Source organism: Homo sapiens, chromosome 2 (genome assembly GCF_000001405.40).
Source record: "Homo sapiens chromosome 2, GRCh38.p14 Primary Assembly".
NCBI classification, from domain to species: Eukaryota; Metazoa; Chordata; class Mammalia; order Primates; family Hominidae; genus Homo; species Homo sapiens.
In genome coordinates this window covers 107,844,190-107,869,261 of record NC_000002.12, presented here as the reverse complement: position 1 = coordinate 107,869,261, position 25,072 = coordinate 107,844,190, and the positions used below count along the sequence as shown (strand labels likewise).

The window sequence follows — 25,072 nt, the reverse complement described above, 5'->3', positions numbered from 1 at the left end:
CCTGTTAATGACAAAACTACCAATAGTCATTTGCTTCAACTGTTTTATGATAGTTTTACCAGAAAACAACCAAAAGATCTTTCATGCCTGTACATGGAAGAAGAAACAGAAACTGTGCCAAGAGGTTCCAAACAATTGCCTCTGGAAAGCACTGAAAAATCAAGACCCAGAAAAGGCTAGCCAGAAGCCCAAGTTTGATTTTGGAAACCTTACAGAGGTGAGGATAGCTATTTTGAAATTACTATGGGGAGGAAGCAGGCACAGAACACAGAACAACCTGACAGAAATGGCCCAAGAATCTTAAAGTCTTGCAAGATGTCTGTCTGCATGAAAGCAAAAAGAAAAAAATAAAATATTAAATAAAAAAAAAATCTTAGTCTGAAGTTTAAGTAGGGACTTTAATTGACTACTGACTCTAAACTGTGCGGCTCTAATAAATCTACTAAAAGTAATCTAACTTTTAAAAGCACCATATGAATAGACAATTTAGGAAAGAAATGTTAATAGGCCTCAAGGAACATGTTTTTGAAGTGAGCCTTGAAAATCTGCAAAATGACGAGGTTGCATTGTGCAAATTGAAGCTATTATGAGAATGTTCAGGTCAAAAAAATTACCTGACAAATTCATGCACAGGATCTCACAAGGAACACAAATGTGTTCGTTGGCTTTAAAAAAATCACATTAACATTCATGTTGATATACAAAAACTCTTCTCCATCTGTTTTGTGTGAGTTTTACCAAGAAACCAAACAACTGGAAGGTACCCACGTTGAAGATGGCAAAACTACCAACTGCCATTTGCATGAATTGGTGAGCATGACTAGTATTAAAAAAACTTAAAAATTGATATCACTTTTGTTCCTACAAATTGGCAAAGGATTTTATAAACTAGTAAGTCAGCATTAGCAAAAGTGCGAAAATGGCACTATCAGATACTAGTGGTAAGAGCATAAACTGAATATTTTGAATACCCTACAAAACTAGGACAGTGTCCTAGAATTTGTAATGGCATAAACCAGAAACAACATAAATAAAGGAACAGAATTTACAGTACTTCCATGTGATGGGATACCATGAACTCATTAATATTCAAAAAACATTTAAGTTTAAAAATGCTCAGAACTAAAGTAACATTTAAAAAACAGGCTAGCTCATCTACACACAACATAGTAACATGGTAACAATCTCATAAAAAATACTATATGTATAGAGAAAGAACCAGAAGGAAATGCTCTCAAATATAAGAAATGTTAATAAGGTGGTTAGTTTTTAGTTTTCTTCACCCTGTTCAGTACTTCTGAGTATCTCCTATGAGCTCATTAATCTTTAATTTTAATCATCTTATTTTTAAAAAACAAGGACCATCTTGATATATGTTTACTTTTATTAAGGAAAAAGAATCTATGAACACAGGAACAGAAATCAGGAGATCTTGGCTCTCGCCCTTTCAGTGCCACAAAGCTGTTTTGTGAACCTGTAAATAATCCATTTGGAGTCTCCATGTTTCTCAATTGTAAAATGACGATGTGCTGCTTCTACACATTTCACAGGGTCATTGCAAGAATAAAATGAGACAATGAGAATGTTGGATTTACATGCTTGTATAAGAACAGAAGACCTTTTATGCCTGTACACAGAAGAAATGGAAATCATGACCCAAAAGGCACCAAATAACTGACTGCACACATCACTAAAAAAGCCCCAGGAAAGGCTAGCCGGTTTGTTTATCCTCTTACAAGGACCTATATGATGTGTAAGGTTTTAAGAAAACAAGGTTTGAACGTTAGACATTTCATATACTTATCTATGACTTACGACATTTAATAAGCTTGACTTCACAAAGATTTTCTGTTATTTTGCTTGTGTTGAGAAGATACTATCACAAAAGGCTAGTGGGGTTGCCTTAACTATATGGACCATCACACAAATGTGCTCATCTAAACCAGATTTTATTCTAAATCTTTCCTGGGCTAAAAAGAGAGAGAGAAAAAAAAGGGCACTACTACTACCATTTCAGAAGTCTGTCGTACATAAAAGGAACAATTTTGTTATTTCTGGCTGCCTGGGAGCAATGTATTATACTGGCAAGTGCTTTGGAGTTACACCACTGGAGTGTGAATCTCGGCTCTATCAATAACTAGCTGTATAATAATGAGTAAGTTACCTAACCTTTCTTTATCCATTTCCTTATTTATAAAAAAGGGATTAATAATGGTACCGGCCATTCTAAGTTACTGTAATTAAATAAAATTACATTCACAAAGCACTTTTGCACATAGCCAACCCACAGTAAACACTATTAGTAACCTTAGTTCATTAACTGTTTACTGTATACTCTAATAAATGTCTGATACACACCCATGCCCACCTGCACATACACAAATGCTCATAGTAATTATGTAAGGCAAGTATTATCTCCACATTTCAGGCAGGTTAACTTACACAGCTATTATAGTAAGTGATAGAGCAGAACTTAAAAACCCAGTATGATTCAGGTCCAAACTCCTTTTCTTTCTTTATATAACCATAATATTTCAAATTAAGTAAGATTTCCTATATAACGTCCTGCCTCTCATCATTATCATCAAAATAATTCCCCAGAGGTGTAGGTTCTTAATTAAGCATTTCTTAGTGCATAACTCTATTCAATAACATTTTTCAATTTAAGGAATAATCTCATCTCAGCTCATCTGAGGTGTGGATTAAGTGTTCTTTAAGCCTTTATATACACGTGATCACATACGGCTCGTTTTTTCTGCTTGGGATTATAAAAATCTCCGTAACACCAAATACAGCTTTTGAAGTCACATATAAACAGACGTTGACATGTATATTAACAAACATATATAAACAAGGTGATTTCACACGTTATCTACTTAAAAGAGGGAAGTAAAGTAGTTTTACTAAAATATGCGATTATCCACTTGCCAGCTCACCTGTTAGTGGAGCCCCATGAAATGTCTGTGACCCCTGATATCCATCAGGCACCGAGTCTGGTCCATAATTCTCTGTGGGCCAACGATGATGGGATGCTGACTTACTGCTATTTAGTTTCAACTCCTGCATTTCTTCCTATTGGAAGAAAAAAAAATCAAATAATTTTAATCATTTAATTATATCATGCCAGAAACAGTGCTGGGGAAACTTACTCTTTTAAATTTAAATAACTGATTTTTTCTTTTTTTCTTTTTTGAGATGGTGTCTCGATCTGTCGTCCAGGCTGGAGTGCAATGGCACAATCTTGGCTCACCGCAACCTCCACCTCCTGGGCTCAAGCAATTCTCCCACCTCAGCTTCCCAACTAGCTGGGATTACAGGTGTCAGCCAGCACGCCAGGCTAATTTTTTGTATAATAGTAGAGATGCGGTTTCACCATGTTTGCCAGGCTAGTCTTGAACTCCTGACCTCAAGTGATCCACCACCTCAGCCTCCCAAAGTGCTGGGATTATAGGTGTGACCCACCACGCCCGGACCTGATTATATCTTTTGAAAGTTTCTATTTGCCAATGAGTTCTAGGTACCTGGTGCTGATTTTAAAATATGATTCTTAATTTGTTAAAAATTTATCTGCTCCCATTTTCATTCGTTAATACAAAACTTAATTCATTAACTCTCTCACCTAAACAAATAACCTCCTAAATGATCACACCTTCATTTCCATTCTACACTTGCCTACATTAACCTTTCTGACGTTCACCTCCAGCCAAGACAATTCCCTGCTCAAAAAAACAAGTACCTACAAACTAAACTTCTTTCCCCAACTTTCACAGTCCTCTAACATTACAGTGACCATCCTTTCAGTGTGTTCTTTCTACACTGCAATCTGGACTACCTGACATTCCAAATCACCTCCCCAAATTAGCTTTTCACTTAACCCTGTGTTCAAACAAAATACAACTAATTCTCAAGGTGATGTTCAAATGCTCCACCAGGAAAGGGAAAAAAGTAGTAGCTGCAGAGAATTTATTATGTATATAATAATACGTCCAATGCACTTAAACTCTTAATTTTTATACTATCTACACTGTTAGGTAAACAATATTAGCTCCTATCTTAAAATGAGAGAAAGGGATGCAGGGAATAACAGCTGGAATTTGAACCACATCTGACTCCAAAAATGTTTTCTTAACACAACTCTGCTGCCTTGACAAGATGGCAGATAGATACAATGCCGTCTAGTGTAGCTATGTGGCTACCTGATCTCTGCTGAAGAAAACTAAATGACAGCACCATACCCAACACCCTAGAACCTACAAAATGTCCCCTTACAAAACAGACACTTAACAGGAAATTCTTTTTCCAAAGAAATTGTAGTGGTATCAGAAAACAGGTAAATTTTGAAAAGTTTCAAACTTCTCTGTATCAGCCCAGGAATCCGACCAGTTCTAACAAGTGAGGTCAGGGACAGATCTAGCATGTCTGCTTTCTTTTTCTACAAGTGTTTCAAATAAAAATTTCCCAGAAAGACCTAACCATGAGGTCCAAAACTATCTCAATTTTCAAGCTAAATAAAATTTCCCCCACTCATCCATCTACAGTGCCTAGTCCAGATGCTACACATACACATCCAAGAAATAAGAAACTAGTGGAATCACCTAGAAAACTTTATGGTCACTGCTGGTATCTGCACCAGAGCTTTGAATTTGCAATCACTGCTGTAACTGTAATTTTTAACATTCAGTGTGATGAGAACTGGCTTCGATAATTCTCTCATTTTAAAGATAAGAAGCCAAACGGTCACAAAGGAAGTGACTGGCCCAAGATCATTAATTAATGGCAGAGTCAGTACTAGTACCAAGCTTTTCAAGCTCATGGACCGGTGCTCCACTATACTTCCACAGAATACAATGTTGGGAGCCTGAAACCTGTATGTTAAGTCAAAATTGTATGTAATTGTCATAGGCCATGACTACACAGAATTAACATTCAAGATTTTTGTGCAAATTCAAAAATGTCTTCCCCACCAAATAGTATTCTCTTAATTTGCAAATACTGCTGATCACACTGTAATAATCGCCACACATCAGCATATCCTTGATGTAACTTTAGCAGTATAATTTAGTTCTTGCCTGATAAACATGAAAGAACCTACTTTTATTTCCAATTCCAAAAAAGTCAAGCTCCTTTGAACCCTATTGTTAAAATACGATATATATACATAACTATTTCCTTACATAATTAAGTCAAATTCATATGGAAGTATTAAAATATAGTAAGACTTTTTGAAGCTCAGACCACTTTTCAATTCCTAGCTATACATTTGAAACACATGTAATCCACAGCTAATCTGGGAATGAACTCATAGACCAGAGTATGATTAGTACATTGTAGCAGTTCAATCACTCGGGAACCTTCTCTGTGTCAGGAACTCTTATATTTTAAATAAAACAGTTTCTACCTTTGAAGGTCTCAAATTTTGTGGAAGATGAGGAGAGAGACACATAAAGTACTTTCAAAAATATAGTAAAGGGCTGGGTGCGGTGGTTTACACCTGTAATCCCAGCACTTTGGGAGGCCAAGGCGGGCAGATCGCCTGAGGTCAGAAGTTCAAAACCAGCCTGGCCAACATGGTGAAACTCTGTGTCTACTAAAAATACAAAAATTAGCTGGGCCTGGTGGCGGGTGCCTGTAATCCCAGCTACTCGGGAGGCTGAGGCAGGAGAGTTGCTTGAACCTGGGAGGTGGAGGTTGCAGTGAGCCAAGATTGCACCACTGCACTCCAGCCTGGGCAACAGAGCGAGCCTCTGTCTCAAAAATAAAATAAAATAAAATATGGAAAAGGGTCAAGACCAAGGTATGTAGGCTGGGCACAGTGGCTCACACCTGCAATCCCAGCACTTTGGGAGGCTGAAGCAGGAGGATTGTTTGAGCCAGGAGTTCAAGGCCACCCTGGGCAACATGGAAAAATCCCATCTCTACAAAAAATACAATTAGCTGGGCCTAGTGGCGTGTGACTGTCTGTAGTCCTGGCTTCGTGGCAGGCTAAGCCAAGAGGCTCTCTTGAGCTAGGAGGTCGAAGCCGCAGTAAGCTGTGATCATACCACTGTACTCCAGCCTGCACAACAAGACCCTGCCTTAAAAAAAAAAAAAAAAAAGACCAAAATGTCCCCTTGCCATACTATTTGGATGGCAAGGGGACATTCTGACCAGCTTCAGAAAAAAAGTGAGAGAGTGGCCAGGGAAGGAATCTTGGAATAAAAAGTACAGCTAGAGAAATTAAGTGACTTACCTTAATGGCCTTTACTTCTTGGCGAATCATTTTCAGTAAAGAATTCTGATCTTCTGCCCATCGAGGTGGTGTTTTGGGAGAATACTAAAAAAAAAATAAAAATCACAAAAGAGCATTTAAAACACTTAGAAACAATTTCACAATGAAATGATTCCATTCTTTCCTGTTTACCTTGTAACTTTTACTTGGTGATAGTGAATATTTGGTAGGAGATGGTGTAGAATGTTTTATTTCTGAATCCGCATTTCGCAAAGAACCATTTTTATAGAGAGGATCTCCTTCACTATAGTTTTCGAGTTCCTGCATGACTGACTTAAGCATCTCTTTTACAGACTCCAGGGGCACAGGCAACTAAAAATAAAAGACATTAATTAAGGGCTTTCATTTGCAAAAAATTCCAAAAGTAAAAACTCTAAAATGATATATTTTATCTTATTTACATTTTTGTCACTTTAATAAGCACTTTACACTTTAAATAATAATACACGTGAAAGTGTTTTTTAATTATCTTTTTTCTTTGTTTTTCTGCTGTTTTGTATTATTTTTATTTTTTTGTCTTTATTCTATTTTTTCCTTCATGAACACAGAAAAGTGTTGTACAATCTAACATCTTCTGATTCTAAAGTCCATGCTCTTTCTATTACTTCTGTTAACCATGATAATTGTAGAGGAATGTTAACTTGGAAAGCTTTTCCAAGTGAACAAAATAAGTTACTGATGTTTTCTAACTGATTTTCAATGGTGACAGAAATACAGATGCTACAATACACCAGACAACATAAATCCTAATAAAAGAGTAGTAACACAAATTAACCAACAAAACACTCAGAAGACTGAACATAATTTAACATCATCATGACAATCTCAAACAGCTGACAGCAAGAAAACAAGGGCGTTCATAATGGCTGATGACGATGAGAAGAAATGCTCTTAAGTTGTCAGCAACAACTTTCAATTTCAGCAAAGTTCATTAAGAATTAGTCCTGAGGTTATAATATTTGTTTTGATTACACTGCTAAGATAACAAAATCAATGTCTTATCTTAGAAATCTTTTCTAATTCCCCAAGAAGTACTTTTTAAGAGCATATACCTAGATTCCCAAGTTTAAAAAGACACACCAAACCTAAGACAAAGCAAGCAAATCTAAGCATTTAGACACACACATCCCTTCTGTGCATTAATAACAACATATTACTGAGTATTTTTGAAATTACCAAAATATAAGACCAACGCAAAAACACTGACCAGTGGGTTATCAGTAAGAACGTACATACAACAACCTGCTACTTACTTTCTTGACCACTGAAAGATTTGAATCACTGTCATCTAAAATCTTTATTAGGTAGCCCCTGGTCTTTCTCAGATAATTTTTGCATTCTTCTTGTTCTTCAGGAGAAAGGGCATCATTTGCAATGTCTTCTGCCTTCCTGTGAAAAATCTATACAAATAATGCTTTTATGAAATCATTAGCTTTTTAAAACAAAAAACTTTCAGCTTGGCCACGCATGGTGGCTCATGCCTGTAATCCCAGCTACTCGGGAGCTGAGGCACAAGAATCGCTTGAGCCTGGGAAGCAGAGGTTGCAGTGAGCCAAGATTGTGCCACTGCACTCTAGCCTGGCCAGCAGAGAAACCCCATCTTTTAAAAGAAATAATAAATAAATAAATAAAACTTTTAGCTCAAGTACTGCATCTACTTACCAGTGCAAGATTCCAATAAGAAACAACACTTTTTATAGATTCAAAAGCAGTCATAGCATCTTCTATATTTCCATTTACTGCATCCAATATAGCAAAAGTTACGTGTGCGTCTTCTTCATATTCAACAATTTCTGATGCCTAAACACACAGAATAGTTTTTAGTCAAATTGTTTATACTCAGAATATAAAACCCAAATGATTTTCCAAAGATTTTATATGATCTTAAGAGACAAACATCTCATTATTCTTCTCTGTCATATCTTATCTGTGAGAGCTAGTGAATTTAGAAAACAAGATTACCGTTAAATAACAAGGCAATTAATTTAAGCAGTGTATAGCTCCATGTCTTTGTTTATAAACTGGAAATTCCCATCTCCAATAAATTCATAAAGGAACTCTGTTACCTGAATGTCTACACTATGAAAATGTTTAAACAGAGGATCAATAGGTTCAGGAATACTGTTCTTCTTTTTTATTATCTTCAACAATGGCAAAACTTTCTTCCAATAATGAACACTTCTCCCTATGTATTCTCGTTGATCATAAAAAGAATTAAGACCACTGCCCTAAAAAAGAAAGTTAAAAGCACACAACTTTAAGGAACACGCATGATTAGATCTAAAGTTCATTTACAAGTTGTAAGAACTGGCTAAAATTTCAAGTCAAAACCAAATGGTACCTCAATAGTCATTTGTTCAACTTCTAAATACTGTAATAACTAAACCACCTTAATACCAGTGAACTCACTGCAACCTCTGCCGTGCAGGTTCAAGCAATTCTCCTGCCTCAGCTTCCCAAGTAGCTGGGATTACAGGCACCTGCCACCATGTCTGGCTAATTTTGTAGTTTTAGTAGAGTTTTTTTTGTATTTTTAGTAGAGACGGGGTTTCACCGTGTTAGCCAGGAATGATCTCGATCTCCTGACCTTGTGATCTGCCCGCCTCGGCCTCCTAACGTGCTGGGATTACAGGTGTGAGCCACCGCACCCGGCCTCTACACTCAACTTTTAAATGCTTCTAATGATACCACCCTAACGTAGCAATCCCAACTGCTTTTTAACAGTTGCCATTTTTAGATAGCTGAAACCTGCCTCTTCTGTAGTGTCAGTTTGTTCAAAAGGCTGACCATCTACACCTAATGGTGACACAAAACACACCTTAAATATTTAGAAAGATCTATAATGGTCTTACCTACAAAGCCTTGTGCTAATTTTTTTTTAATTTTCAGGCTAAATAATTATCAGAACTTAATTATTAAGGAATAACAGTAACAGCTCAGCTAATATGTAACATTCACTGTGTGCCAGGCATTGCTCCTCTAAGTGCTTATATTTAACTACATTAACTATTTTGCAGCAATAAAAAACACATCTGTCATAATATGACAAAGCTGCTGTTTTCAGAACAAAAAAACTTTCAATAAAAAGTTCATGATTTTAAAAAATTAAGGTAATGTTCTTTTAAAATGCTTATACTTTAAAACTCACCATTTTCTGAAGGCATTTTGCCCAATGTACAAGCAGAGCAGGTTGAAGGCCATGTTTTTCCTGGGCTCTTAGAGTGTTTATTTCATGCTGAACTAAAAGTCTCAATTTTGCTGAGTTTCCAGGTCTAAAAAATAGTTCAATTTACTAAAATTGCTTTCTAAATACACAGTTCAGCGCTTACATACATATATGTTAATGGGTCACATGACAAATTAAATCTTCACATGAGGATTAAATCCCTGGTAAAACCTACGCACTAAGTGAAAGCAATATTTTTGTTTTACTACTTACACTGCTTTTCTGTGAATCAGAGTACAAACCGCATCCCACCAAGATTTTTGTCTTTCTGTACAAAGCTGTTTACATACAGGAAGGGGCAGGCATAACGGCTGATAGGAGCTGTGGTGAGAATTACATTTCTCCTTTAATTGTAAGTGGCTGGTATATACTACTCCAAGGAGAAATACCTGTTTTATTTAAGGAAAAGTTAAGTTAGAAAAAAAAATTAAACAAAATTCAGAATATTTAATTTGTTAAAATCTTTGCTTACTTCAAGATCTAAAATACATATTGATTCAGGTGCATTTGTTTCAAGCCTTGAGGTTTCCTGGGGCAAATGATGGAAAAGCTGTTTTAGCCATTTTCGGATTCCAGGTAAAGCAGGCAATGAATTCCACTGTAAGCCAAGCCAAGTAAGGTGCTGAAGACTACCATTATGTGCTCGAATAGCACCTGAAATAAAATAAAAAAATTGGCTTAAGGGTTTGAAATTTTTCCTTGTGCCATTAGTTTTGCCAACATAAACAATTCACATTATATATATCTTAATTATATAACTGCTTTTCTATATCAAAGCTGGAGGGAATTCTATGTTAGGCAAAATCTCATGTTCTTATTAAATGCATTCTCACTTGATTATTTCTAGAAATTTTAATAAAAATAGTAGTGATGAAGAATGTTTAAGTCCATCTTAAAAAATGACACTGACTAGAACTCAATAAACCAAAATCAACTGACAAAAGCCAAATAAAGAACACCTAACCTAATAAGAAACCCCAAAACAATGGGTTTTCCTTTAAGTCATTAAAGCAATGGAACACCACTATATAATCCATCAGTACAGTAAAGAAATCTGTTTTTCTACAAGAAAGTCAATATTGAAAAGGTTATGCGCAGTCAGGAGTTCGAGACCAGCCTGGCCAGCATGGTGAAACTCCGCCTCTACTAAAAATACAAAAAATTAGCCGAGCACGGTGTCACGTGCCTATAGTCCCAGCTACGTGGGAGGCTGAGGCAAGACAATTGCTTGAACCTGGCAGGCGGAAGTTGCAGTGAGCCAAGATTGCGCCACTGTGCTCCAGCCTGGGTGACAGAGTGAGACTCTGTCTCAAAAAAAAGAAAAGAAAAGAAAAGAAAAGAAAAGAAAAGAAAAGAAAAGAAAAGAAAAGGTTATGTGCTTCTGGAAGCATGAAGAGGTATAATCTTTCTGTCATTTTGGCAATTTGCAAGACTTAAAGATGTTCATGTCCTTTGTCTCAGTAATTATGTTTATAGGTATCTCTATGGAAATAACTTGCCATGAAGACACTTTTTGTTGAAGTTTTTATCAGAGTATGATTATTAACAGTGGAAAAGTTGAGAAAACTTGGATGCCCAATAACAGAAAGTAGCAAGCAAATTATGACTACTTCATAAAAAAGATTATATTGCCAATAAAAGTGATATTTATAGTTTTAATACAGAGACTATGGGAGAGAATTCATGAAGGAAGCAAGATAAATCATACATAACCATTTAGATGAAAAATATGGCCAGATGCAGTGGCTCATGCCTATAATTCCAACACTTTTTGTTTTTGAGACGAAGTCTCGCTCTGTCGCCCAGGCTGTAGTGCAGCAGTGTCATCTTGGCTCACTGCAACCTCCACCTCCCAGGTTGAAGCGATTCTCCTGCCTCAGCCTCCTGAGTAGGGACTACAGGCACATGCCACCACCCCCGGATAATTTTTGTATTTTTAGTAGAGACGGGGTTTCACCATGTTGGCCAGGATGGTCTTGAACTCCTGATCTCAGGTGATCTGCCCGCCTCGGCCTCCCAAAGTGCTGGGATTACAGATATGAGCCACTGTGTCAGGCTTAATCCCAACACTTTGGGGGGCTTAGGCAGGAGGATCACTTGAGCCTAGGAGTTGGAGACTAGCCTGGGCAACAAAGGGAGACCCTGTCTCTACCAATTAAAAAAAAAAATTATCTGGGCCGAGTGGCATGTGCCTATGGTACCAGCTACTCAGGAGGCTGAGGCAAGAGAATCCCTTGAGCCCAGAAGTTCAAGGCAGCAGTGACCTACGATCACGCCACTACACTCCAGCCCAGGTGACACAGCGAGACCCTGTCTCAAAATACAACAAGGCTGGTCACGGTGGCTCACACCTGTAATCCCAGCACTTTGGGAGGCCAAGGCAGGTGGATCACCTGAGGTCAGGAGTTTGAGACCAGCCTGACCAACATGATGAAACCCTGTCTCTACTAAAACTACAAAAAAATTAGCCGGGCATGGTGGTGGGCATTTGTAATCCCGCTACTTGGGAGACTGAGGCAGTAGAATCACTTGAACCCGGGAGGCAGAGGTTACAGTGAGCCGAGATCGCACCACTGCACTCCAGCATGGGCGACAAGAGCAAAACTTGGTCTCAAAAACAACAACAACAACAAAAAATACATGCCACCCCCACAGCACCACATTCAAACTCCCCCCAGCCCAACCCACACACAAAAGGAATACAGGAAAATATTAAGTCGTTATTTCTGGGTAATAAGATTATGGGCAATTTATAAGAATTAAGACGGAGACCATTTCCTCTGAAACATATAACTTACCAACATCGTATCTAGCCAAATCTTCAAGCTCTGGTTCTTGTACATCAATGTTTCCAATATCATCGCTACCAAGAAAAGATGTATCCTTAGGTGACTGACTAGAAAACAGAGCATCATATAATGCAGACTGCCCGCTTTTGTTGGCAAAAGTTTCAACAACCACTTTTAAAAAATCTTGCTTGCCACGACTTAAGTTTAGCAACATGTGCCCTGAAAAAAAAATTTAAGTTATTTCCATCACTTTAAAAATACAGATTGTATTTGCTCACGTTGTCTCATTTGTATACCCAAAGGGGAAATAATATGATTATTGCAGACCTAACCCTCCAACCCAAAAAATACAGCTGGACAACAAAACGGGTGCTTATGTAGCAAATGAAAAGAGTACAGGTTTAATATTCTCAGTATCTACATAAGACAGCAGAAGGGGGAAAAAAGACAGGAATGTGTATGAAAAATGCCAAACGTATTTGCATTTTAGATGAAAAGGTCTGGATTTAAGTGGCCATAGGAGAACAGGGACAAGCTCTTATTCTCTGATCTGATACACTGATTTCTAAACCTGGCTCATCAGAATCCTCCTTTAAACAGCTTTTAAGAATTATTTCCAGCTGGGCATGGTGGCTCATGCTTGTAATCCCAGCACTTTGGGAGGCCAAGCTGGGTGGATAATGAGGTCAGGAGATCAAGACCATCCTGGCTAACACAGTGAAACTCCATCTCTACTAAAAATACACACACAAAAAAAATTAGCCGGCCCTGGTGGCGGGTGCCTGTAGTCCCAGCTACTGGGGAGGCTGAGGGAGGAGAATGGTGTGAACCCGGGAGGCGGAGCTTGCAGTGAGCCGAGATCACGCCACTGCACTCCAGCCCGGGCGACAGAGTAAGACTGTCTCAGGAAAAAAAAAAAAAAAAGAATTATTTCCAGGCCTTGTTCCCAGAGATTTTTATGCCATAGGTTTACAGTAAGCAATCAAAAAATCATAGTCCTCGGATAAAGTACTGATACATGCTATAACACAGATGAACCTTGAAAACCTTGCTAAATGAAAGAAGCCAGTCACAAAAGACCACATACTATATGATTCCATTTATGTGAAATGTTCAGAAGAGGCAAACCTACAGAGACAGATTAGCGGTTGCCAAGGCTGAGAGGTTTGGGTAAAATGGGGAGTAACTGCTAATAGGTAAGGAATTCCTCATGGAGTGATGAAAATCTTCTAAAACTGACTGTGGTGACAGTGATAATACTCTATGAACATAGTAAAAGCCACTGAACTGTACACTTTAAATGGGTGAAGCGTATGGTATACGAATTATATTTCAATTGAACTTTTTAAAAAAACCCTCCTTCGAGTTAATTCTGCTGGGCAATTAGGTTTGGTTACCACTACACAGTTGTGTCTCAGCACACTTACAGAGGCACCCTCGGGATGCCCAGATCAAAGACATAAAAAAAAATACAGGCAATTTTTATCTAACTGTGACACCACGCAAAGGCACTTATGAGAGCCCTGCAAGGGTAGAAGGAAAAGAGAAAAGGAAAAAAGTAGAAAGTCACTTTAAGGACTGAAAGCCTAACTCCCACAAAAAAAGTGGGCTATGGAATAAAAGAGCAATGTGAGCTTTGGCCAACAGCCTAACTATACACCAAAGCTTATAATAACTTTGATTAATATTACATCTTGCTCTTTACAAAATTCATCCAATTTTATATCAGAACTGCTCCTTATAGAAAGCATTATGTTTCTTCAGTTCACTGCTTGATTCAATGGCCATCTAACTACCTTAAAGTTTGTATCTTAGCAAAATCACAGGTAATACGCAACAGACCTTTAGGATTCATCCCAAGCCAAAAATGGGGGAAAAAATCCACAAATTCCAAGAGCCTAATATAAGGTAAGTATATATCTTCTATCTTCCTCACTATGCTCTCAGTTCTTTAAGACAGATGCGTATCTTCTTCATCTTTATATCCCCACAGCAGTGTTTTTAGAATCAGCTGGTGTTAAATGGTTGGCAAATCAATAATTATACTTAGTTCAGGAAGTGACTAAATATTCAGGATAGAGGCTCTAGCAGCCAGATGAAGAAAGAGTTAAGAAATCCTCTCCACATAGGAACAAACAATATCAAATATTCATTTTTTTAAAAGAATGTGCTATTTCTTCGCATCTCTTCCATACCTATTGCTCTTAACTGATACGGCGAAAAGAAATAATTTTGACAAATTATCTCCTGGACAGATGGAGATTTTATCATAAGATATGCCTTAACAGAAATTCCTTTTTCTTTTTAAATTAAATTAGTTTAATATTACTATTACCTGATTGGCTCAGTCGGTCACAGGCCATCATTTCCAGCAGATTTTGTCCAGCTTCACCTTTTATTAATTTAATCTTTGGTCTTGGAACCTAATAATTTTAGAATCAAAAATCTTAATTTGATGATACCCATACTTCTAATAGTAACATGGTCTTATCTATTACACTGTACTTTTTTTGATAATGAATGAACAGTTAACCATTAATTAAACTGAATTGGAAAAGACTGCAAAAACTGGGAACCAAGGAATTTATATAACCTATGAAAGATAGGCCAGGTACAGGCGTGGTGGCTCACACCTGTAATCCCAACACTCTGTCTGGGAGGCCAAGGTGGGCTGATCACTTGAGGTCAGGAGTTCGAGACCAGCCTGGCCAACATGGTGAAACCCAGTCTCTACTAAAAATAAAAAAAAAAAACAAAGAGCCAGGCGTGGTGGCACACACCTGTTAATTCCAGCTACACAGGAGGCTGAGGCACAAGGATAGCTTGAACCTGGGAGGCAGAGGTTGTAGTGCGCCGAGACTGTGCCATTGCACTCCGGCCTGGGTGAAAGAGCGAGACTCCATCGCAAAAAAAAAAAAAAAAAAGAGAGGGGCCAGACATGTTGGCTCACACCTGTAATCCCAGCACTTTGGGAGGCCAAGGTGGGGGGATCACTTGAGCCCAGAGTTCAAGACCAGCCTGAACAACACGGTGAGACCCTATCTCTAAAAAAAGTTTTTTTTAATTAGCCAGGCATGGTGGCACACACCTGTGGTCCCAGCTACTCAGGAGGCTGAGGCAGGAGGATCACTTAAATCCAGGAGGTCAAGGCTGCAGTGAGCCATGATCATGCCACTGTGCTCCAGCTTGGGCGACAGAGTGAGACCCTATCTCCAACAAAAGAAAAAAAAAAAAAAGCATACACAGAGCAGCTCTGAGAAATTAGTTTCTACTAAAAGCACATTCATGTTACATTCAGAGAAATGGAAAATTTAATTACATTACTTTTCTACCCTGCATAAATAGGACAACAGCAGATGTTGTCCTATTTGAGTAGATATGACACCCTACTTTAAAAAGTACAGGTGAAATGACACTTGGAAATGCCACATTGTAGATAACACATTTTCAGAGTATGGATAATAGGGGATAGCACTGGAATAAATGGGACAACCAGGAAATTAAAGAGATCCTCATGCAATAACCTATGGAAAAAAAAAAGCATGATGAATAGAATGGCGAAGGGAAGACGTGACAGCTGCCTTCAAATATTAAAATTATTTTATAAAAGAAATCATCAAAAGAAGAAACAAGACCAACAGGTAGAAGGCTTGAAGAATATTTTTATTCTATATAAGGAAGTACCAAGAGCCAAACCACCTAAAGATGCACTGGGCTATCTTGAAAAGTAATGAATGTCCATCACTGAAAACGTCCAGTCATAGGCAATGCCCACTTACTAGAAACATGCCAAAAGTAACTATATGGGTGACTAGAGCATCGGCTTTTAATTCTATCACCACTTTCTTAATTGGTGGTGGAAATGTAATTTGATACAACCTCTTTAGGGTTAGATATTTGGCAACAGCTCTAAAAATTATAAATGCACAGATATACTTTGATACTGCAATTCTTTCAGGAATTCATGGCACAAGTTAATCATTGCTAAATTACTTGAAGTAGCATTTAAAAAAAAAAGTAAAAGCAAGCTAATGTCCTGGCTTTAGGACCCTGGTTTTAAAAACTCCAAAACTACAGTACATCCATACAATGGAATAATATGCAAGCATCCAAACTAATGAGAATACCCTTTATATATACTGACATGGAAACATCTCCAAGATACAGTTAATGGAAATAAAGTAAATGCAATGTTCAAACGTTTTCCTCCTTCTTTTAAAGACAGGGGATATATGTGTGTTTACTTGGAGATGCATAAAACATTTCCTGAAGAACACACAAGAAAGCAATAACATTAGTTTCTTTGGGGGTGGAGAAAGTAAATAACTAGGGAACAGAAAGGAGTCTTCATAGCATATTCTTAAGAGCCTCCAGAATTTTAAACCATGTATATATAATTCTTTCCAAATATGCTCATTTTTCAAAATATATGATTTATGAACCTAAAAGCTTCTGATTTTGAATTTTAGAAATATTCGTATCGCCTATCCTTTTACTCACAAGTTTTCTAAACATCATGTCAAAGTTTGTCATCTATATGTTGAAAAGAGCACACAAAATAAGAAACAAAATGTTGACATCATTCTTTTTGTTTTCAAACTGACCTCAATTCATAAACCCGGCCTCTTTTACAAAATTATTCAACAGTTGAATTTGTGACCAGTTAATTAGTTGTGAATCCACTCAATCAAATCATCTCAATTCACTATTTCCTTTTTTTTTTTTTTTGAGATGGAGTCTCGCTCTGTTGCCAGGCTGCAGTGCTGCAGTGCTGCAGTGGCACGATCTCGGCTCACTGCAACCTCCGCCTCCTGGTTTCAAGCAATTCTCCTGTCTCGGCCTCTCAAGTAGCTGGGACTACAGGCACCCGCCACCATGCGTGGCTAATTTTTCTATTTTTAGTAGAGATGGGGTTTGACCATGTTGGTCAGGATGGTCTCAAACTCCTGACCTCAAGTGATCCGCCCGCCTCAGCCTCCCAAAGTGCTAAGATTATAGGCGTGAGCCACCACGCCTAGCTATTTCCTCATCTTAACTAAAAGGTTTCAAGATACTTTGTCAACTACCTAGCTGCAATGCAGATGTACTTACTAGAACCACAGTATTCCTCTGATTAAGAGTCTGAAAATCTTGCCATAAAAGTTAGCCAATTCTTACATACCCAAATGCCAGCACATAACCTACATTTTATGCTTATAATCATTTGATCATTAAGCTTTAAAATAAACTGATAAAATAAAATACAAGCATCTAAGATGTTTCTATTATATATTCATTCTACAGAAATATGTGGTAGTTAATAAAGACTGAGGTAGGTATCTCTGTGCTGAAGTGGAACAATGAAGAAACATTTAGAAAAGCAAGGCATCTGGCAATAGGTAAAGCACACCCACATTGAGGCACAATATTTTTTAAAAGCAGAGAAAGAATGTATTGCACATTTGCATATGCAAAAAATATTTCTGAACACCCAAGAAACTCCTAACAGTAGCTGTCATCTAGGAAAGGAGACCTGAGTGAATGGATTAAGAGGGAAACTAACTTATTATGATTAAAAGTTCACAGTCAGGTGTGGTGGCTCATACCTGTAATCTCAGCACTTTGGGAGGGCAAGGCAGAAGGATCACTTGAAGCCAGGAGTTCAAGACCAACCAGCCTGGGAAACATAGCAAGACCTTGTCTTTACAAAAAATTTAACAATGTAGCCAGGCATGGTGGCAGGCACCTGTAGTCCCAGCTACCGAGCTGAGGCTGAAGCAGGAGAGGATCACCTGAGCCCAGGAGTTCGAGGATGCAGTGAGCTATGATCATGCCACTGCACTCCAGCCACAGCACCTCCCAAAACTACATATCAAAAAATTGTAGGCTGTGCGCAGTAGCTCACACCTATAATCCCAGCACTCTGGGAAGCTCGAGCCCAGTTCAATGTTACGGTGAGCTACGATTACGCAACTGCACTCCAGCCTGGGTGACACAGCAAGACTCTAATAGACACACAGACAGATAAATTTTAAAGTTTCCATTAAAAATAAGAACTATTGGCAGGGCGCGGTGGCTCACGCCTGTAATGCCAGCACTTTGGGAGGCCAAGATCATGAGGTCAGGAGATCGAGACCATCCTGGCTAACACGGTGAAACCCCATCTCTACTGAAAATACAAAAAAATTAGCCAGGCGTGGTGGTGGGTGCCTGTAGTCCCAGCTACTCGGGAGGCTGAGGCAGGAGAATGGCGTGAACCCAGGAGGCGGAGCTTGCAGTGAGCCGAGGTCGTGCCACTGTGCTCCAGCCTGGGCGACAGAGTGAGACTCCGTCTCAAAAAAAAAAATAAAATAAATAAAAATAAGAACTATCAGTTACTTGAGAATTTCTATAAGAACCTTTTAATGTTTGTATTACCTAGTGAACCTCACTAAATCCATTAATTTTCACTAATCCATTCCTTATGAACACAGAAGTTTCTACTGAGCAAATATTAGCACTTAACATGTGAACTGTCTATCAACGGTGTTTTTAAAAGATTTACAGGCCGGGCTCAATGGCTCATGCCTGTAATCCCAGCACTTCGAGAGGCCGAGTCAGGTGGATCACGAGGTCAGAAGATCGAGACCATCCTGGCTAACATGGTGAAACCCCATCTCTATTAAAAAATACAAAAGATTAGCCAGGCATGGTGGTGTGTGCCTGTAATCCCAGATACGTGACAGACTGAAGCAGGAGAATCACTTGAACCCAGGAGACACAGGTTGCAGTGAGCTGAGATTGCGCCACTGCACTCCAGCCTGGTGACAGAGCGAGACTCCGTCTCAAATAAAAATAAAAAGATTTATATTAGGCAGGGCATGGTGGCTCACTGCCTGTAATCCCAGCACTTTGAGAGGCCGAGACGCGCAGATCACCTGAGTTCAGGAGCTCAAGACCAGCCTGACCAACATGGAGAAACCTTGTCTCTACTAAAAATACAAAATTAGATGGGCGTGGTGGCGTGTGCCTGTAATCCCAGCTACTCGGGAGGCTGAAGCAGGACAATCGCTTGAACCCGGGAGGCGGAGGTTGCAGTGAGCCAGATGGCGCCATTGCACTCCAGCCTGGGCAACAAGAGCAAAACTCCGTCTCAAAAAGAAAAAAAGATTTATATTAGGAGGGGCCTTCTCTAAAAGTAATGAATCCTTTTTTTTCCCTCCCTAAGCAAAAAATCCTTCTCTAAAATTAATCATTTTTCTAAGCCTGGTTTAATGCTTTTTTGGAAGACTGCTTATTTCTTTTCCTTTCAAAAGTTATGCAGGCTCATTAAAAAAAAAAAAAAAAAAAGGCTGGGCATGGTGGCTCACGCCTGTAAATCCCAGCACTCTGGGAGGCTGAGGCAGGTGGATGACTAGGTCTGGAGATTGAGACCATCCTGGCTAACATGGTGAAACCCCGTCTCTACTAAAAGTACAAAAAAAAAATTAGCCAGGTGTGGTGGCGGGTGCCTGTAGTCCCAGCTACTCAGGAGGCTGAGGCAGGAAAATGGCGTGAACTCGGGAGGTGGAGCTTGCAGTGAGCCGAGATCGTGCCACTGCACTCCAGCCTGGGCGACAGAGCGAGACTCCGTCTCAAAAAAAAAAAAAAAAAAAAAAGGCCAGGCGCGCCAGGCGCAGTGCCTCGCGCCTGTAATCCCAGCACTTTGGGAGACCAAGGCAGGTAGATCACGAGGTCAAGAGATTGCGACCATCCTGGCCAACATGGTGAAACCCCATCTCTATTAAAAATACAAAAAATTAGCTGGGCTTGGTAGCACGGGCCTGTAGTCCCAGCTACTCGGGAGGCTGAGGCAGGAGAATCACTTGCACCCAGGAGGTGGAGGCTGCAGTGAGCCGAGATCACGCCACTGCACTCCAGCCTGGCAACAGAGAGAGACTTGGTCTCAAAAAAAATAAAAAAATAAAAAATAAGAAAAGGTTTTATGTTTTCAAAGATTAATAGATATACTGTTACATATACACAATACAGTCATAAATGTTATATACATGTGTTTCAATTAACATGTTAAACTGCAATCATATTCTTCTATCATAGGCTATAAAGCCATTGCCCTACATCTACTTATTAGGATTTTGTCCAAGTAACACATCTTTTTGAATCAAGTTTACCCATCATACGAGATTACATCTTTATCATGTTCCCAAAAATGGCAGAGTAAAAAGATCAAACTCTTCAAATTTGTCTACAAACAAATCATGGCAATGCAGGCTTTCGACAAGAGTGCACTCAACATCCCTGTTTCACCAGCCTCACCAGTATTGTGTATGCTTAGTTATTTTCCACTGTATCAAATTGACTATTTCATTTCAACTTTAATTCCACAGGTTTGTTCACATATTGTCATTACATACCAGAGCACACCTTCATTTAAAACACATCAAGACTCCGTGAAATGTCAATTGCTCCAAGTGGAAGACTTACCTGAAATGCTATGAGATAGCACAATGCAGCCAGCTCAGAAAGAGCTCGCCATTGAACATTATTACCATGCTGACCCATCTTCAAGAGCAGAGAACCAGCATGCATGTAGAAATGTCCTTTCATTTCTAAGAAAGTAGCTGACAGTTCATCATTTCCACCCAAAGAAGATTTCGCAGACTGAAGAGCACTATCAAAACTGTAATATGAAAATATCAAACAGATGATACACACTTACTGCACTGTGAATAATCATGGTTCATTTAATTCAAAACAAAATAAAAATTTTATTTCAAGCTTCATCTTCCACATTCAACTTCTAATAATTCTTATTCCCCGTGTTATAAATTATGAATCATCTAATGCTTATTTTTATCCTGCATACTTCCTATACTTCATGCTTAACCTCTCAAATGATGTCTTATTCCCAGTTATTTCCAGCCCTCCAATCACAGGATAAATATAAGATTAGTGATTATAGGTGCACATTTCAAAATAAACCAGGATAAAGTTGGGAGACTATTTTGTAGTTTCTTCCTGATCATATAATTTCATTATTTAATTAACAGTTGTAATTTCTCAAATTAGACATAGCATTTCCAAATTATAAGTAAATAATTGACAGGTATTTGAGTATCAATACAGTAATTGCTCTTTTTACTATATAGATCATTACAGCATTAAATAAATTGTCTTTTTTTTTTTTTTTTTTTTTGAGACGGAGTCTCTCACTATCGCCTGGGCTGGAGTGCAATGGCACGATCTAAGCTCACTGCAACCTCCACCTCCCAGGTTCAAGTGATTCTCCCGACTCAGCCTCCTGAGTAGCTGGGATTACAGGCACCTGCCACCATGCCCCGATAAACTTTTTTTATATTTTTAGTAGAGACAGGGTTTTACTATATTGGCCAGGCTGGTCTCGAACTCCTGACCTCACGATCCGCCCGCCTCAGCTTACCAATGTGCCGGGATTACAGGCATGAGCCACTATGCCTGGCCTATTATTTGTAATCTATATTCTAAATTAGTTCTTCTAAATCCTAATGTTTCTCCAAATCCTCACTTTGGAAGAAAAGTAAAAGCAAAAAGCAAACACTTAAACGTGAAGCATGATTTTAAAGTGGCTTACAATAAAGCAACCAGAGCAAGTGAGGTCTAAAGATCTCTGAGGGTGCTCAAAAACCCCTTCAGGGGATCCATGAAGCTAAAATTACTTTTACAATAATACCAAAAAAATTTATATATTACATACTCATTTTCTCATGTATGTAGAGCTGAGTTTTTTTGTTTTTGTTTTTGGAGACAGAATCTCACTCTGTCACAAGGCTGGAGTGCAGTGGCACAATCTTGGCTTACTGCAACCTCTGACTCCCAGGTTCAAGCGATTCTTCCGCCTCAGCCTCCCGAGCAGCTGGGACTATAGGCGCGTACCAACATGCCCGGCTAATTTTTTGTATTTTTAGTAGAGACAAGGTTTCACCATTGTTAGCTGGGATGGTCTCGATCTCCTGACTTCGTGATCCACCCGCCTTGGCCTCCCAAAGTGCTGGGATTACAGGCCTGAGCCACCGCGCCCCGCTGAGCTGAGTTTTCTAGAGGCTTCATGACATGTAATAGTTTTACAGACTGAAAGAGGAAGTAAATGAGAATCTAGCTATGTTCTATTAAGCGAGACATTAAAAAGATTTACAAAAATGCAAAAACAATGACACTTTTCTGACTACTTTTTTGCTGTTGGAAAATAATTATTTTTCATAAAAAATGCTATTATTGGCCCTGTGCGGTGGCTCACACATGTAATTCCAGCACTTTGGGAGGCTGAGGCGGGTGGATCACCTGAGGTCAGGAGTTCAAGACCAGCCTAGCCAACATGGTGAAACCCTATCTCTACTAAAAATACAAAAAATTAGCCAGGCGTGGTGGTGGGCACCTGTAATTCCAGCTACTTGGGAGGCTGAGGCAGGAGAATCGCTTGAACCTGGGAAGCAGAGGTTGCAGTGATCCGAGATCACACTGTTGCACTCTAGCCTGGGCAACAAGAGCAAAACTCCGTCTCAAAAAAAAAAGCTATAATTATTAACACACAGTAGGGCTTATTACATTTTTAATGGATTACATTTTTTATTTGTTTTAATTTCTAATGTAATAAACACTGACAGAAATAACCCACATACGGCCGGGTGCAGTGGCTCAGACCTGCAATCCCAGCACTTTGGAAGGCCAAGGCAGGCGGATCACGATGTCAAGAGATTGAGACCTTCCAGTACTTTGGGAGGCCAAGGTAGACAGATCAAGAGGTCAAGAGATCGAGACCAGCCGGGCGCGGTGGCTCATGCCTGTAATCCCAGCACTTTGGGAGGCTGAGGCAGGCGGATCACAAGGTCAGGATATCAAGACCATCCTGGCTAACACAGTGAAACCCCATCTCTACTAAAAATACAAAAAATTAGCTGGGTGTGGTGGCAGGAACCTGTAGGCCCAGCTACTCGGGAGGCTGAGGCAGGAGAATGGCGTGAACCCTGGAGACACAGCTTGCAGTGAGCCGAGATGGCGCCACTGCACTCCAGCCTGGGCAACAGAGCGAGACTCCGTCTCAAAAAAAAAAAGATCGAGACCATCCTGGCCAACATGATGAAACCCTGTTTCTACTAAAAATACAAAAATTAGCCAGGTGTGGGCTGGGCGCGGTGGCTCACGCCTGTAATCCCAACACTTTGGGAGGCCGAGGAGGGCAGATCACGAGGTCAGGAGATCGAGACCATCCTGGCTAACAAGGTGACACTCCGTCTCTACTAAAAATACAAAAAAATTAGCCGAGCGTGGTGGTGGGCGCCTGTAGTCCCAGCTACTCAGGAGGCTGAGGCAGAAGAATGGTGTGAACCTGGGAGGTTCACAAGGCGGGTAACAAAGGGCCCATGAGTCCTGATTAACTGATCTGACAAACCATCTGTCACCCACAGCCCTAAGCCACACTGTGAAACTGCCTAGGGTGGCACCAGCTTTTTATCTTCCTCAGGGTCCTCCCTTCAGGCCCCCAAGTAACCCCTCATGGTCCAGATTCTCCCGAGTGACTCCATTCCCATGGTCATCTCCCCTCCTGAGCCTCCCCCTCTGAGGGCCAAGGGCTGTCCTCAGGGCCCTCCTGGGGCTTCCTGGTGGGGAACAACCTGAGGCAGGAGGATAAGCTCTTATTCAGAGCATTGAGAGGAAATTGTGAAGCTTGCAGTGAGCCGAGATTGCGCCACTGTACTCCAGGCTGGGTGACAGAGCGAGACTCTGTCTCAAAAAAAAAAAAAAAAAAAAAAAAAAAAAAAAAAAAAAAAAAAAAAAAATTAGCCAGGTGTGGTGTCGGGCACCTGTAGTTCCACCTATTCAGGAGGCAGAGACAAGAGAATCACTTGAACCCAGGAGGCAGAGGTTGCAGTGAGCTGAGACTGCACCACTGCATGCCAACCTGGCGAGAGCAAGACTCAGTCTCAAAAAAAAAAAGAGAGATTGAGACCATCCTGAACCCCGTCTCTACTAAAAATACAAAAATTAGCTGGGCGTGGTGGTGTGCGCCTGTGGTCCCAGCTACTCAGGAGGCTGAGGCAGGAGAATCGCCTGAACCCGGGAGGCAGAGGTTACAGTGAGTCAAGGTCGTGCCACTGCACTCCAGCCTGGTGACAGAGCAAGACTCCCTCTCAAAAAAAAAAAAAAAAAAAAAAAACAAAAAAGAAAGAAAGAAAGAAAGAAAGGAACCCACATACAAACATCTTTGATGTCCTTAAGAAAAATGTAAAAGGAACTTGTGACCAAAAAATTTGAGTATACAAAGAACACAAAATAAAACATCCTACATGTTTTCTAAAATAATCTTAAAGTTATGTTAGTTCTTTTAGATACTGTTCTTACCCTACCAATTTAGGACACTATGTACTTTTTCAAGAAAATTACCTACTCCCTGCACTCAGTGAAATGAACTTCTTTCCTTATACCAGATGGGGAAATAAATTAACTTCCAAACAAATGGACAGCCTAAACTAGCAATCAGTAAACTTTTTCTACAAAAAGGAGGAGATTACTAATCTGGCTTTACAGGCATACAATCTCTGCTGCAACCACTCAACTCCAATCTTGTAGTATGTAAGCAGCCACAGACAATACATAAACAGAGGCATGCTGCATTCCAATAAATATTAACAAAATTAGGCAGGGGCCATATTTGGCCCACAAGTTCTAATCAACAACCCCTGCTCTAAACTAACATCTTTATACAAATCCAAGTGATGTTTTTGTTCAATGGAATTTATTTTCAAAATGGAGACACTGGTTTTCAAAATCAAAATTTAGGAAAAAAGGTAAATCACA

General features: G+C 39.4%; 1 protein-coding gene and 1 long non-coding RNA gene across 9 annotated transcripts in view; one reads left to right on the top strand and one right to left on the bottom strand.

The window, feature by feature from the left end:
- The window catches only part of LOC124906057 (uncharacterized), a 47,064-nt gene extending 26,040 nt beyond the window's left edge, over window positions 1-21,024 (top strand). The window contains exon 2 of the long non-coding RNA XR_007087170.1: window positions 20,629-21,024. This is a non-coding gene — a long non-coding RNA (uncharacterized LOC124906057). The remainder of the gene's footprint in view (window positions 1-20,628) is intronic.
- RGPD4 (RANBP2 like and GRIP domain containing 4) overlaps window positions 1-25,072 on the bottom strand; it is a 65,653-nt gene that overhangs the window by 23,283 nt on the left and 17,298 nt on the right. For 7 of the 8 annotated variants that reach the window (XR_922911.4, XR_007073111.1, NM_182588.3 and 4 more), the window contains exons 7-18: window positions 20,726-20,921; window positions 14,619-14,706; window positions 12,293-12,502; window positions 9,967-10,148; window positions 9,708-9,883; window positions 9,417-9,540; window positions 8,335-8,496; window positions 7,931-8,068; window positions 7,522-7,668; window positions 6,401-6,580; window positions 6,230-6,313; window positions 2,937-3,072 (exon numbers count right to left, since the gene is read on the bottom strand). Coding sequence is in view for 6 of the 8 variants with exons in the window: in NM_182588.3 (NP_872394.2) it covers window positions 2,937-3,072; window positions 6,230-6,313; window positions 6,401-6,580; window positions 7,522-7,668; window positions 7,931-8,068; window positions 8,335-8,496; window positions 9,417-9,540; window positions 9,708-9,883; window positions 9,967-10,148; window positions 12,293-12,502; window positions 14,619-14,706; window positions 20,726-20,921 (1,823 nt within the window). In the remaining 2 variants the exon portion in view is untranslated. Of the gene's footprint in view, window positions 1-812; window positions 1,536-2,936; window positions 3,073-6,229; window positions 6,314-6,400; window positions 6,581-7,521; window positions 7,669-7,930; window positions 8,069-8,334; window positions 8,497-9,416; window positions 9,541-9,707; window positions 9,884-9,966; window positions 10,149-12,292; window positions 12,503-14,618; window positions 14,707-20,725; window positions 20,922-25,072 lie in introns of those variants that run through there. The other variant, XM_017003898.2, reaches the window with a different exon arrangement.